A 15,181-nucleotide genomic window follows, 5' to 3' on the forward strand; every position below is an offset into this window, starting at 1 on the left:
TTATTTCACTTCTTTTTTTGAATGTTTTAGGACTTGTTTTGTGACCTAACATACACAGTCTATCCTTGAGAATGATCCATGTGCTGAGGAAAAGAATGTCTATTCTTCAGCCATTATATGAAAGGCTCTGTAAATATCTATTAGTTCCATTTATTTCTAAATGAATCAAGAAGAAATTCTAGAGTTGAAAAATGCAACTGACATACTGAAGCATTATGTCTAATGTTTGTTGGTTTTCTGTGTGGAAGATTTGTCTAATGCTTAAAGTGGGGTGTTAAAGTCCCCAGCTATTATTGTATTGATGTCTATCTCTCTTAAAATTTTTTTTTCTTTGTAGAGACAGGGTCTTGCTATATTGCCCAGGCTGTTCTTGAAATCCTGGGCTCAAGTGATCCTCCTGCCTTGGTCTCCCAAAGTGCTAGGATTACAGGTGTGAGCCACCATGTCCAGCCCCTATCTCTTGTTTTAGCTCCAATAATATTTGCTTTATATGTCTGGGTGCTCCAGTGTTGGATGCATATAGATTTACAATCATCATGTCCTCTTGCTGAATTGACCCCTTTCTTTATCATTATATAACCTTCTTTGTCTCTTCTTATAGTTTTTTTCTTGAAATCTATTTTGTCTGATATAACTATTCATGCTGTTTTTTTTTTTTTTTTTTTTTTTTTTTTTTTTTTGAGACAGAGTCTCACTCTGTCGCCCAGGCTGGAGTGCAGTGGCACGATCTCGGCTCACTGCAAGCTCCGCCTCCTGGGTTCACACCATTCTCCTGACTTAGCCTCCTGAGTAGCTGGGACTACAGGCACCTGCCATCATGCCTGGCTAATTTTTTGTATTTTTAGTAGATGGGGTTTCACCATGTTAGCCAAGATGGTCTCAATCTCCTGGCCTTGTGATCTGCCTGCCTCAGCCTCCCAAAGTGCTGGGATTACAGGCATGAGCCACTGCGCCTGGCCTATTCATGTTCTTTTTTGTTTCAATTGGTATGAAATATCTTTTTCCATCCATTTATTTTCAGTTTATATGTATCTTTATAGGTGAAAAGTGCTTCTTGTAGGCAACAGATGATTGAGTCTTATTTTTTCATACATTTAGCCACTCTACGTCTTTTTGTTGGAGAGTTTAGGCCATTTACATTTAATGTTATTATTAATAAGTAAGGACTGACTTCTGCTATTTTGTGATTTGTTTTCTGGTGTTTTGTGGTCTTCCCTTCTTTCTTTCCTTCCTTCCTATCTTCTTTCACTTTTTAACTTTTTTTTGTTTCTCTTTATGTCTTATTGCACTATGTCTTGAAATGTTGTTGTAGTTATTATTTTTGACTGCTTCATCATTTAGTCTTTCTACTGAAGAGTAATTTACACCCCACAAATACAGTATTATAATATTCTGTGTTTTCTGATGTGTTTACTATTGCCAGTGAGATTTATACCTGCAGATTTTTTTTTTTTTTTGAGACGACATTTCATTCTTGTTGCCCAGGCGGTAGTGCAATGGCATAATCTTGGCTCACCACAACCTCTGCCTCCTGGGTTCAAGTGATTCCCCTGCCTCAGCCTCCCAAATAGCTGGGATTATAGGCATGGGCTACCATGCCTAATTTTGTATTATTTTTAGTAGATTCAGGGTTTCTCCATGTTGATCAGGCTGGTCTTGAACTCCTGACCTCAGGTGATCTGCCCATCTTGGCCTCCCAAAGTGCTGGGATTATAGGTATGAGCCACCGTGCCCAGCCCCAGATGATTTCTTGTTGCTCATTAACCTCCTTTTATTTCAGATTGAAGGACTCCCTTTAGCTTTTTTTTTTAGGACAGGTCTGGTGTTGATGAAATCTCTTGGCTTTTGTTTTTCTGTCTTTATTTTTCCTTCATGCTTGAAGGATATTTTTGCTGGATATACTATTCTAGAATAAAAGTTTTTTCCTTCAGCACTTTATATATGTCATGCCACTCTCTCTCTGGTCTGTAAAGTTTCCACTGAAAAGTTTGCTGCCAGACATACTGGAGCTCCACTGTATGTTGTTTCTTTTCTCTTGCTGCTTTTAAGATCCTTTCTTTATCTTTGAGCTTTGGAAGTTTGGTTATTAAATGCTTTGAGGTAGTCATCTTTGGGTTAGATTGGCGTGGTGTTCTATAGCCTTTTTGTATTGAATATCAGTATCTTCCTCTAGGTTTGGGAAGTTCTGTGATATTTTCGCTTTCAAGAAACTTTGTACCTCCATCTCTTTCTCTACCTCCTCCTTAAGGCCACTCTTAGATTTGCCATTTTCAGGCTATTTTCTGGATCTTGTAGTTGTGCTTCACTCTTTCTGATTCTTTTTTCCTCTCCTCTGTGTATTGTGTGTGTATGTGTGTGTGTGTGTGACAGAGTTTCGCTCTTGTTGCCCAGGCTGGAGTGCAGTGGTGTGATCTTGGCTCACTGCAAACTCCGCCTTCCGGGTTCAAGTGATTCTCCTGCCTCAGCCTCCCAAGTAGCTGGGATTACAGGCATGCGCCACTACACTCAGCTAATTTTTGTATTTTTAGGAGAGACAGGGTTTCACTAAGTTGGTCAGTCTGGTCTTGAACTCCTGACTGCATGTGACCCACCCACCTCGGCCTCCCAAAGTGCTGGGATTACAGGCATGGGCTACAGTGCCCTGCCTCCTCTGTGTATTTTCAAATAGACTGTTATCAATCTCACTAATTCGTCTGTTTGTTCAATTCTGCTATTAAGGGACTGGACTCTGATGCATTCTTCAGTATGTCAGTTGCATTTTTGACTCTAGAATTTCTGCTTGATTCTTTTTAATTATTTCAATCTCTTTGTTAAGTTTACCTCATGGAATTCTGAAATCCTTCTCTGTGTCATCTCAAATTTCTTTGAGTTTCCTCAAAACAGCTATTTTGAATTCTCTGTCTCAAAGGTCACATCTCTTTTTCTTTGGGATTGGTCCTTGGTGCCTTATTTAGTTCATTTGGTGAGATCATGTTTTCCTGGCTGGTGCTGATGCTTGTAGATGTTTGTCTGGGCAATAAAGAGTTAGGAATTTATTATAGTCTTTGCAATCTGGGCTTTGCAATCTGTGCCTGCCCTTCTTGAGAAGGCTTTCCTGGTATACAGAGGGACTAGGGCCCCAAGCTCAGTAATGCTATGGTTCTTGCAGACTCATAGAAGTCCCACCTTGGTGGTCTTGGATAAGATTATGAAGAATTCTCTGGATTACCAGGCAGAAACTCTTGTTTTCTTCCTTATTTTCTCCCAAACAGAGTCTCTCTGTGCTGAGCCGCCTGGAACTGGGGGTGAGGTGATGCAAACACCCATGTGGCCACCACCAGTGTAATTGCCCTGAGGCAGACCTGAAACCAGCATAGTACTGGGTCTTGCCCAAAGCCCATTGTAACCACCACCTGGCTACTGCCTATGTTTGCACAGGCCGTAAGGCTCTACAATAAGCAGGTGGTGAAGCCAGCCAAGCTTGTGTCCGTCTCTTCAGGATGGTGAGTTCTCCCAGGCCCCAGGCAGGTCCAGAGATGCTGTCTGGGAGCCAGGGATTGCAGTAAAAACCTTACAAGAAGTCTACCTTGTGTCTTATTCTACTGTGACTAGGCTGGCACCCAAACCACAAGACAAAATCCTTCACACTCTTCCCTCCCCTTTCCACAAGCAGAGGGGCCTCTCCCTATGGCCTCTGCCACCACTGACCCATGGCGAATTCTGTCAGACCACCACTAGTGTTCACTTAAGGCCCAAGGGCTCTTCAGTCAGCTGTGACAAATGTTGCCAGGCCTGGAACTCACCCCTCAGGGTAGTGAAATCCCCTCTGGCACAGTGCAGGTCCAGAAATGCTATCCAAGAGCCTGGACCTGGGGACCCCAAGAGCCCGTTGGTGCTCTACACCATGGCCAAGCTGATACCTGAGGCTGGCATGTCCGAGTCTCACTCAAGGTCCACAGCATACTGCCTGTGCATCGCTGTTGGTTACTCAGGGCCCATGGGCTCTTTAGTCAGCAGGTGATGAAACCTGCAAGACTGAGTACTTCCCTTCAAGGCAGAGGGTTCCCTTCTGGCCCAGGGTGTGTCTAGAAATGTTGTCTGGGAGCTAGGGCCTAGGATGGGGGCCTCACAATTCTGTCAGGTGCCCTGTCCTATTGTGGTTGAGCTGGTATCCAAGATGCAAGACAAAGTCCTTACTCTTCCCTCTCCTCTCCTCAAGCAGAAGGGAGTCACTTTTATTGCTGTGAGCTGCACTGCCTGGGGTTGGGGGAGGGGTGGCACAAGCCCTTCCTTAGCCACCCAACTGGTGTCCCATGTCCACTGGCTCTGCACTCAGCACAGAACAAGGATTTACCTAGCAACTACAGTCCTTGTGGCCTAGACTGCCTTTCAAGTTTATTTAGGACCTTAGAACACTTTAGCCCACAGTGTTGAGGCTTGCTGAAACTCAGGTTCTGACCGCTGGGATGGGCAATTCCCCTCTGGCTAGGGCTGGTCTAGATGCTCCCTCTGTGGATGGGCATCTGCTGAGTTTAACTCAGTTTTGCTTTCTGCTGTGACCAGGCAGCACTGAGTTCAACACAGGGTCCCAAAATTGCTGTGCTTTCCCTCTCTCAAGGGCACAGCACCTGCTGCTGCTAGGGGAACGGGGAAGGAGCAGCGTTACCAATTCAAAACTATCTTTCCTACCTTCTTGCAGTGATATGAAGTTAAAATCAGGTACTGTGATTGCTAACCTGATTTTTGGTTCTCATGAAGGTGCTTTTTGTATGTGTAAATAGTTGTTAAATCAGTGTTGCTGCATTGGGGGACAATTGGTAAAGGTTTCTACATTCAGCCATCTTGCTCAGACCTCTCCTGATTGAACTATTTCTTAAAAATTATTGTGGCTGGGCACAAAGGCTCACATGTGTAATCCCAGCACTTTGAAAGGCTGAGGCAGGATGATCACTTAAGGCCAGGAGTTCAAGACCAGCCTGCGTAACATAGCAAGACCCCATCTCTACAACAATAAAAAAATTATCTGGGTATGGTGATGCATGCCTGTAGTCCCAGCTACTTGGGAGGCTAAGGTGGGAGGATTGCTTGAGCTCAGGAGTTCAAGGTTACAGTGAGCTATGATCATGCCACTGCACTCCAGCCTGGGCAAGAGTGACACCTTGTCTCTAAAAAAATAATTTGGCTGGGCGCAGTGGCTCACACCTGTAATCCCAGCACTTTGGGAGGCTGAGGTGGGTGGATCATGAGGTCAAGAGTTCAAGACCAGCCTGGCCAAGATGGTGAAACCTCATCTCTACTAAAAATACAAGAAAATTAACTGGGCGTGGTGGCACACACCTGTAATCCCAGCTATTTGGGAGGCTGAGGCAGAGAATTTCTTAAACCCAGGAGGCAGAGGTTGCAGTGAGCCGAGATCACGCCACTGCCCTCCAGCCTGGGTGACAGAGCGAGACTCTATCTCAAAAATAAATAAATAAATAATTTATTTTAGACTTTTTCATTATGCTTGAATATTTTCAAAATAAAAATTAGGGAAAACATTCCTCTTTAATGTTTACATACAAACAATTCCATTGGCCTTAAAACTCTTAACTAGTCTTTCTTGGCACATAAACTCTTCTCTGAGGAGTAACTAAAATAATAATCCTTTCTTTTTTTTTTTTTTTTTTTAATTTTTTGAGATGGAGTCTTGGTCTGTCACCCAGGCTGGAGGGCAGTGGCGCGATTTCAGCTCACTGTAACCTCCGCCTCCTGGGTTCAAGCGATTCTCCTGCTTCAGCCTCCTGAGTAGCTGGGATTGCAGGCATCCACCATCATGCCCGGCTAGTTTTTGTATTTTCGTAGAGATGGGGCTTCACCATGTTGACCAGGCTGGTCTTGAACTCCTGACCTCAGTGATCTGCCCGCCTCGGCCTCCCAAAGTGCTGGGATTACAGGCATGAGCCATTGTGCCCAGCCATTCCTCTCTTTTTAACTTGAAACGTCTTCGGAACAATTACTAAATACATCATGCCACTCTGTATTACTTGGTGATTTACATGTTTAAATCCTTCAGTCAACTGCAAGCTCTTTAAGGTAAGGACTGGGTTTTATATAATGCTGCACAAAACTGATCTCAGTGTATTACTCATATTACACATCTATTGATGCTCATTAAGTTAAGCCAGCAAACAATAACTTTTTTACTCCAGCTTGCCAGGAGTAAAAAAAAAAAAAAAAAAAAAAGAAATAGAAGTCAAACAAAGAGTCTATTTAAAATATCAGCTTATTGTTTATATAGTGTGGAATTCATACAGCAATCAAAGGGCTTTACTGTCTGTACCCAGATGCTCATTGTTATTGAATGACTCATATTCTTCATAATTTTTATTTAAAAGTTGCAGTCTAAGTCTTAACTTTAACATGATTAACAGTATTATGGTTTTTCTTTATGTTTTGAGTTTTTTTGTAGACATGGGGTCTATTTTGCCCAGGCTGGTCTCAAATTCTTACCTCAAGAGATCTTCCCCCTTTGGCCCTTCAAAGCACTGGGATTACAGGCATAAGCATCCACTATAGGCCAAGGTACTTTGTATTTAAATAAAAGGTTTATAAGGAAGTCTAAAATTCATATTTTACTAAATTTTACCATATTTTCCTGAAGTAGTAGATTAAAAATATATTTAAATTAATTCATAGATGGCTGGGGAAAAAAGGCATATAAAGAGAACAAGTGACTTGTCCTAAATGACACAATCAATTCTCAATACTTTCTCTTTTCAATGATGCATGCTTATTTTCTACTTGATGAGTTGGATTGTACTTTACAGGAAACCTAAAATAAATTCTTAGGTCAGGAAATGTGACTTCGATTAATTACAAAACATATATTTATGTGTAATGTGTTCTTAAAGCTGTAATTTACAAATATTCATAATGATTTCCAAGCTTCAGTCTGCCTCTTGATATAGGTCCATTTCATTTATATAATCATAAATAATAATAAGTTAGTATTTATTTTGCTGATTTAAGGTGTTCATCCAAAAGTTCAGCAATGGCTTCTTCATCTGCTGATTGAAGCAGTCTCTGAATTAGCTGATCCAGGCCCTTCCCACCACATAAAAATTCCTGGTAAAAGAGAGAGCTATTATGAAACCTAATGATTAGAAATATAAGCAAAGACTTTAGTGTTTATTTATTTAATTTCTTTGCAGTCATTATTTAATAACAATAAAGGATTACTAATGTTCTGTAATACAATGAACACAATCGCTAACTTGGGAAGATCCCCACTCTGTAGAAGAATTCAGTTAGCATTTTATTTTAAAATAAATCTTCTGAGATTTGGATTTTCCTAACAACTCCAGAGACAACAAAACAAAGAGATCTAGATGGACTTTTGAAACTGACCACCTCCCTCCCTTTAAAATTCCACTGATTGGCTTTTATGACAACACCATTCTAGGCTCTCAAACCATCTTTAGGAGAACGGGTTTGCTGGATTTTCTCTTATTGTACCCTAAAAAAAAAATGCTTTTATTCTTGTCCTGAAAATTCTACCCTTTTCACTCACATTATGTTATTTCCCAGAGGAAAAAGACTGAAAGGTCTCAATTCCACAAGCAATTTGTTCCACAAGCATTTTGTGCATTAATGCACATACTGCTCCTTGCCAACTCCTCTGGATCTGACTGAGAGGAAGCCTCCCCCGACCATTCAAGCTCACCCTTCTGCTAATCCTCAAAGTTTAGATTATTTCATCTGTAAGTGGTTTATGATAGTTTTTTATTTTTAAACCGAAAACATGATGATCTAGAAGTCCTGTGTAACTGAAAAATATTTTTGTTGAAATATTTAGGGGTGAAGTGTCTTTGAGGTCTGCAATTTGCTTTCAAATGGTTCAAGAGCAACACAGGTTTATAGAGAGACAGAGGAAATGGTGGGGGGAAAGAGAAGGAAAATACAGTAAAATATTAACAACTGTTGAATCTAGGTATAGTCTATATTGTGCTGATTGACTAATCTTTTTTTTTGAGACTGGCTCTTGCTCTGTCGCCCAGGCTGGAGTATAGTGGTGTGATCTCGGCTCACTGCAACCTCTGCCTCCTGGGCTCAAGCAATCCTCCCACCTTAGCTTCCCGAGTAGCTGGGACTACAGGCACATGCTACACACCCAGCTAATTTTTTTTTTTTTTTTTTTTTTTTTTTTTGTAGAGATAGGATTTTGCCATGCTGCCCAGGATGGTCTCCTGAGCTCAAGCGATCCTCCCACCTCTGCCTCTCAAAGTGCTGGGATTACAGGTGTGAGCCACTGTGCCCAGCTGACCCAATCTTTAAACATTATGTAAACTTGAAAAAGTTTGAAATAAAAAGTTGAGAAAAAAAATTTTCATGTTTACCACTAAATAACTCCACTGGGTGAAAACTGTTTTGAGTTGACTTCCCTGAAGTCTCGTCTACAGTTCTCTGAAAAATGACTAAATTAATGACTTCAAGAACTTTTCCTGTATAACAGAAATTCTGTGTAGTAAAGTTGTTGGGATTAATGAATTTGTACATTGCCATTTTAGAAATGCTTGAAATTTAGACACTGGCTTAATGAAAATACTTTAATGTTGGCATCTGGAACACAAAACATTTAGTTTTGATATAGTTATGAACTAATCTTATAGTTAAGTCTTTCTTGAATGGTCTTAAAGTTGAACTTTAGGAAGTGTACACACACATCTCTCAAATTAAGGTAAAGGATATATCTTACTATTTCTGTATTCCCCAAAGTACCAGCATATAGTAAAACCTCAAACTCTGAAATTAAACAGAAAGCAAAAACACTATGATATAACTTTAAAATTAAGGTTTATATCACTTTGAGCAAAATATGAAATTGCTTTTAAAATCAGTGTGACTAGGCCAGGAGCAGTGGCTCATGCCTGTAATCCCAGCATTTCGCAAGGCTGACGCGGGCAGATCACCTGAGGTCAGGAGATTGAGACCAGCCTGGCCAACATGGTGAAACCCCGTCTCTACTAAAAATACAAAAATTAGCCAGGCGTGGTGGTGTGTGCCTGTAGTCCCAGCTACTCAGGAGGCTGAGGCTGGAGAATTGCTTGAACCCGGGAGGCAGAGGTTGCAGTGAGCCGAGATTGCGCCGCTGCACTCCAGCCTGGGCAACAGAGCAAGACTCTGTCTCAAAAAAAAAAAAAAAAATGTACCTGGTACTCAAATTATTATAGTATTGCCAAGGTAATCATCTTTGGAATTGATGTAAAAGGATTATCCCTCTACTGGGAGTCAAACACATTAGATTCAACTGGATTAACCAGAGTGCAGGAGATACAAAGGTCAAAGATGAATGAGTCATAGTTCCTAACTTTCAGAGGCTAACAGTCTAAGTAGAACAGCTAGACAAATACATAAGCATCACAAAACAATATAATAAATTAAAAAATGAAGGAGAAGAAAGGAAGGATTGTAAGGAACCATGAATTTTGAAGAAAGGTGGCATCAGGGAAAGATTCAGGAAGCCAGAAAGTTTTGAATTTGGTTTTACAAAGAGAATAGTATTTTCCCGAATAGAAATGAGCTGGGCATTTCCATCAAAAGAAGGAGTATTAGAGGCTGGGTGTGGTGGCTCACGCCTCTAATCTCAGCACTTTGGGAGGCCAAGACAGGCAGATCACTTGAGGTCGGGAATTCAAGAACAGCCTGACCAACATGGGGAAACCCCGTTTCTACTAAAAATACAAAATTAGCTGGGCATGGTGGTGCATGCCTGTAATCCCAGCTATTCCAGAGGCTGAGGCAGGAGAATCGCTTGAACCCAGCAGGTGGAGGTTGTAGCGAGCTGAGATCACACCATTGCACTCCAGCCTGGGCAACAAGAGCAAACCTCTGTCTCAAAAAAAAAAAAAAAAAAAAAAGAATGAGTATTAGGACAGGAAAACTGCTGGGGGCGCGGTGGCTCAGGCTATAAACCCAGCACTTTGGGAGGCCAAGGTGGGTGGATCACTTGAGGCCAGGAGTTCGAGACTAGCCTGGCCAACATGGTGAAACTCCTTCTCTATTAAAAACACAGAAAAATTAGCCAGGCATGGTGGTACACACCTGTAATCCCAGCTACTCAGGAGGCTGAGGCAGGAGAATCACTTGAACCCAGGAAGCAGAGGCTGCAGAGATTCCACCACTGCACTCCAGTCTGGGCAACAGAGTGAGAATCTGTCTCGGAAAAAAAAAAAAAAAAAAAAAACAGGAAAACAAAGTACATTTAAATCTCTAAGGCCAGGGGAAATTTCCAGTGTAACTGGAATATAGAGCAGGAGATAAGGCTGATGTCAAGAAATCTGCACAAGGACATTGAGAAACAATAAAAATGTGAAACAATACATTATATGGTAGTCTGTGCTTATTAGCTCGATAAATAAAAGTAAGAAAGTTACCTAACAGAAGAAGTCATAATGAGAATACCAGGTGATCTCACAGAATCCAAGGATAGGAATGTGGAATGTGCAGGGTCACGACTACCACCCGTGGAATGAGACTGAGCCTTGGGAATAAATAAATGTAGGGACTCATATCATCAGGGTTCTTTCTGTCTATTTCTCATTTTTGCTTTTCTCTGTGTATCAATTTCATTCTCTTCTCACTGAAGATGCTTTCTCTTGGTGGCTGAAAATGTGGCCTCTAACCTCTTACATGCTTTATATATTGCAGTTTCAGCCACCAAGAGAGAGAATAATCCTCTCCATCTCTGATCTTAAAATCCTGGGAAGAAACTCACTGGCTAGGACTTATTTGGGTGTCCACTCCAAACAAATCCACTTTTGTCCTGGGTCAGGATCACGATCATGTAAGAATGCAGCAGCTCTGTCAGAAACTGTGGATGTGGTACGAAGGGCAAGTTCTAGAATAAGGGAGGAAAGCTAGGCAAAAAGTTCCAAAAACGCTCACATTCTTTCCTATCTACCCCTTCCATTTGTCCAACAGCTGTTGCCCTGGGGTTAAGATCCTTATCACTTTTCCAGCTTCATCTATGATTTGGTTCCTAAGTTATTCACTCTTTTTTTTTTTTTTTTCTGAGACAGAGTCTTGCTCTGTCGCCCAGGCTGGAGTGCGGTGGTGCGATCTTGGCTCACTACAAGTTCCACCTCCCGGGTTCATGCCATTCTCCTGCCTCAACCTCCCCAGTAGCTGGGACTACAGGTGCCCACCACCATGCCCGGCTAATTTTTTTTTGTATTTTTAGTAGAGATGGGGTTTCACCGTGTTAGCCAGGATGGTCTCGATTCCTGACCTCGTGATCTGCCCACCTCGGCCTCCCAAAGTGCGGGGATTACAGGCGTGAGCCACCGTGCCCAGCCAATTATTCACTCTTACTAGTCTCTTTACTGTCCTTCACACAGATTTTAATGTTTTACTACAGCTACCTTTTTTCATGCTGTTTTCAAACTTTGTTCCTTTCACTACTATGGAATGTCTTCTTCCAGTAGACTAGTTAGTGATTATTAGAGCTTACCAGTGTTATTTTCCTTATTACTTCTGAGTCTGGCATGCTAGTTTGGTTAGTGATATATTATTATTTAGGCCAAAGTCAGATATTTTATAACTACAGAAGCCAGTTAGTTACCTTCCCTTTGTTTCACAACCGAATACTATACTATGCACCTATGGTCCCATCTAAAAGATATTACTGGTCATAAGAATGTGGCTGTCTCCGAAAAAATTGTCACTACTAGAAAAACAACTGAAAGAACATAGTGTAATTAGAACAATATGGCCAAACACGTTTCGTTAATACTGTGTGTTTCCGGAGGAAAGGGAAATTAGCAAATATTTTCCTCCTTTTCAACATGGCTATGTTCCTAAGCAAGATAGCCTTATCCTGCTGAGGAGACAGAGGATGTGGCATAAGACATACAGAAATTGACAAACATATTAACCTTGTATAACTAGGACTTTTTTACAAGGTATATTTCCCTTGTAAAACTAGGACTTTAATTTTGAGAATAGGATGGGACAGAGTCAAGTGAAAGAAGCCTTAGGTATCACATGGCACCAAGGAAAAACATCAAAGATTTCTGTCTGCTGCCTTTTCCACATAGTCCTTTATGGGACCAGTTCACTTTCTCCTTCAGTGGCAACAAAAAAGACATTTTTCTGTGCTTCATCATTAATATATTTATATATTTATGTCAGTGGTCTTTGCTGGATGCGATTTAGATAGGTTAATGTTCAAACAATCTTGACCGAGTCTTTTCCCCAACAGCCTAACTGTAACACCTCAATCTAATGAAGACACATTGTGGTAGGGAGAATTCTAAGATGCCCCCTGGTGTACACACTGTGAATAACTCCCTCTCAGTGCAGACAGGACCTGTGAAAATGATGGAGTATCATTCTAGTGCCTAGGTGACTAAGCAGCTGACTTTGAGTTAATCAAAAGGAACATTATCCAGGTGAGCTTGACCTAAACAGGTGAGCCCTTAAAAAGGCCCGAGTCATTCCTGCAAGAAGAGATTCAAAGTGGGAGAGAGTCTCTGGAGGTAGCCACTGGGAAACAACTTCCAACAGTATTTACGCGCTGAAAAGCAGCCTCCAGCTGACTGTCAGCAAGGGAATGGGGGCTTCAGTCCTACAATCGAAGGCAATGGCATTCTGCTGGCAACCACATAAACTTGGAAGAGGACCCCAAGCTCCAGAAGAGTATGGAGCCTGGCCATGCCTTGATTTCAGCCTTGTGAGATCCTGAGAAGATAACTAAGCTCAGTTGTCCCTAGATTTCTGACCTACAGAAATCATGAGATAATACTTTAATCATGGGTACTGCTTTAAGTTGCTATATTCGTGGTAATTTGTTACCTGTCAATAGAAAACCAATACCCATGTATATATGCAGACTGAATATACGTTCATGCATTGTGATTGCATAACGAAGAATTTGGAATTTAGAAAAGACCATTGTTTCAAAATGGCATAAAGATCATTATTTTTTTAACCAGCAAACTAATAAAAGTGTTTGTAAATTTTAGGGTGGCTTAATGATTTAAATTACTTGGTAATATTTTAGATATACTTGGTAATATCTACATATATGTTCTAGAATTTGACTATATTTTCTTCTGAAATCAAAGGTAGGCAAAGCATACTCAGTAGTATTACCTTAATATCACGAACTTCATATGCTATCCTGTGGTCACTGACTCTATCCTGGGTGAAATTATATGTCCGAATTCGCTCTGACTGGGCTCTTGTTCCCACCTGTGCCATAACAAAAAGCAATTTATATTTTACCTTTATAAATGTCTTCATTACAATGGAAAAAGCACTTGGCAAATGACCATTTCAACAATTTAGATACTTTCTAAAAGACATATATACAAAATGACAAAGAAAAAGAATGGGCAGAACTTAATGTTTAATACTACAGGTTTGTAGAGCTCGGTTATAGAATAAGAAGGAATGTTTCTTTGATATTTCAAACTCCAAATCCTTAAAATCAAATTAATCATCTTTCCACTCCAATCAGTTCCCCCTCCTGGTTTCTATAAATGACAGTACCATGTATTCTCTTTTATCCAAGTAGAAAATTCTGACATTCTGCAATTTATCAAACATTTTGTGGGTCTGAGTTTACTATGCCAGGCTTTGACAAAGATGCACACGGCGGGAGAGACCATCTTCAGTTCATCCCATTCTCCAACTGCCCATTTCCAATTGGTTTCATGGGTCTCTTATTATATCCTGCCCTTTCCATTTCTCCTCTCACTCATGGACTCATTACTTTCACCTACAATTCTGCAAAAATCTCCTGATTAATCTCCAATTTTTTTGCTCACATTGTGCTGCCCTGCTTACTCTTCCTACAGTACAGTTTTCTGATAAATTTTCTTTGGTTCCTTCTTGTCTACTGAGCAGACACAACTCAACTCAGCATTCAAGGTACTTTGTAACGTGGCCAATCTTCCCAGTGTTATTTCTGAAAATTACGTTAATCTCCATAATGCCACTAATAATACTATGTCATTATTATGTGTGTGTCGGTTATCTCTGCTATAAAACATCATCTCAAGGGATGCCCTTCTCTAATACTCTCCTACCATTTCTGCCTTTCTGGCCCCAGCAATTGAAATACATTCTCTTCTTCCCTGAAATCCACTGTACTTGGAATGTTCTTCATGGCACACCACAGTTTGTCTCATGCTACAGTTATTTGCATTCTTCTTAGTCTGCTCATCTCCTCCACCTCCCCAACACCCGATATACACAGCACCCTGTGTCAATTGCTGTCACTTTTTAAAATAAGATATTTCTATAACTTATTGTCTTAAACCCTAAGGCAAGTGATATGAAACTAAACTCCTGACCATTAGAAGAATTTTTTTAAATTATGGATTCCTAAGCCCAACCTCAGATATAATGGATCAGAATTATGTATTTTGAGAACATCCCAGATCATCTCTTCTGACAATCAGCCAAGTTTGGAAACCACTGTCCCAAAGCACCATATTAATGGCCAGGACCTCACTCCAGATCAGTTACATCAGAATCTCTGGGGTGGGGCCTGGGCATCTACGAAAGCTTGTTAGGTGATCAGTGGAACCAGGATTGGGAATGTGGCATAATGCCTTCTGTATAAAAGCCAAGTGTATATCTTGGTTGAAGAAAAAAACTTCTAAGCCTTAGAAATCCCTATTAAAACATTTCAGGTAGGTGGATAAGTTATTCAAGAGGCAGTGACGTCTTTTTTGGCTTGTCAATCAGACTACTGAAGAAGACACATGAACAATTTGCATAAAGCCAATCTTGAATACCTATTTTAAAAATTACTTTGTGGGCTGGGTGCAGTGGCTCACACCTGTAATCCCAGCACTTTAGGAGGCTCAGGCGGGCAGATCACATGAGGCCAGGAGTTCGACACCAGCCTGGCCAACATGACAAAAACCCATCTCTGTAAAAAATACAAAAATGAGCCAGGCATGGTGGTGCATGTCTGTAATCCCAGCCACTCGGGAAGCTGAGGCACAAGAATCGCTTGAACCCGGGAGGCAGAGGTTGCAGTGAGCCAAGATCGTGCCACTGCACTCTAGCCTGGGTGACAGAGAGAATCTGTCTCAAAAAAAAAAAAAAAAAAACTTTGTGCAACGCCTGGTGCCAAAATGTTAAACGGCAAGTAAATCCAAATGTCTTTTTAAAATTCAAATGTGGCAGAGTTCATAGTGTCTGTGGT

The 15,181-nt window shown here is 41.0% G+C and overlaps 1 protein-coding gene and 1 long non-coding RNA gene across 26 annotated transcripts in view, besides 1 other annotated feature; one reads left to right on the forward strand and one right to left on the reverse strand.

Moving 5' to 3' along the window:
* The window catches only part of KBTBD6-DT (KBTBD6 divergent transcript), a 103,759-nt gene that overhangs the window by 77,215 nt on the left and 11,363 nt on the right, over window positions 1-15,181 (forward strand). The gene's annotated exons all lie outside the window — the stretch shown is intronic.
* Window positions 6,227-15,181, reverse strand: part of MTRF1 (mitochondrial translation release factor 1) — a 95,670-nt gene continuing 86,715 nt past the window's right edge. For 22 of the 25 annotated variants that reach the window (NM_001354074.1, NM_001354076.1, NM_001354073.1 and 19 more), the window contains 2 exons: window positions 13,114-13,212; window positions 6,227-7,086 (listed from right to left, as the gene is read on the reverse strand). In NM_001354074.1, coding sequence (NP_001341003.1) covers window positions 6,973-7,086; window positions 13,114-13,212 — 213 coding nt within the window. In that variant the 3' untranslated portion in view covers window positions 6,227-6,972. Of the gene's footprint in view, window positions 7,087-10,234; window positions 10,502-13,113; window positions 13,213-15,181 lie in introns of those variants that run through there. The other 3 variants (XM_017020861.3, XM_047430788.1, XM_017020859.3) reach the window with 1 other exon arrangement.
* Window positions 12,208-12,257: a silencer, noted in NCBI's record as "silent region_5289". NCBI's record gives its function as "represses an Ori minimal core promoter by ATAC-STARR-seq in GM12878 lymphoblastoid cells {active_cell/tissue: GM12878}" and the evidence as "EXISTENCE:reporter gene assay evidence [ECO:0000049][PMID:35858748]".

The sequence above is a fragment of the Homo sapiens genome, chromosome 13, assembly GCF_000001405.40.
Source record: "Homo sapiens chromosome 13, GRCh38.p14 Primary Assembly".
NCBI classification, from domain to species: Eukaryota; Metazoa; Chordata; class Mammalia; order Primates; family Hominidae; genus Homo; species Homo sapiens.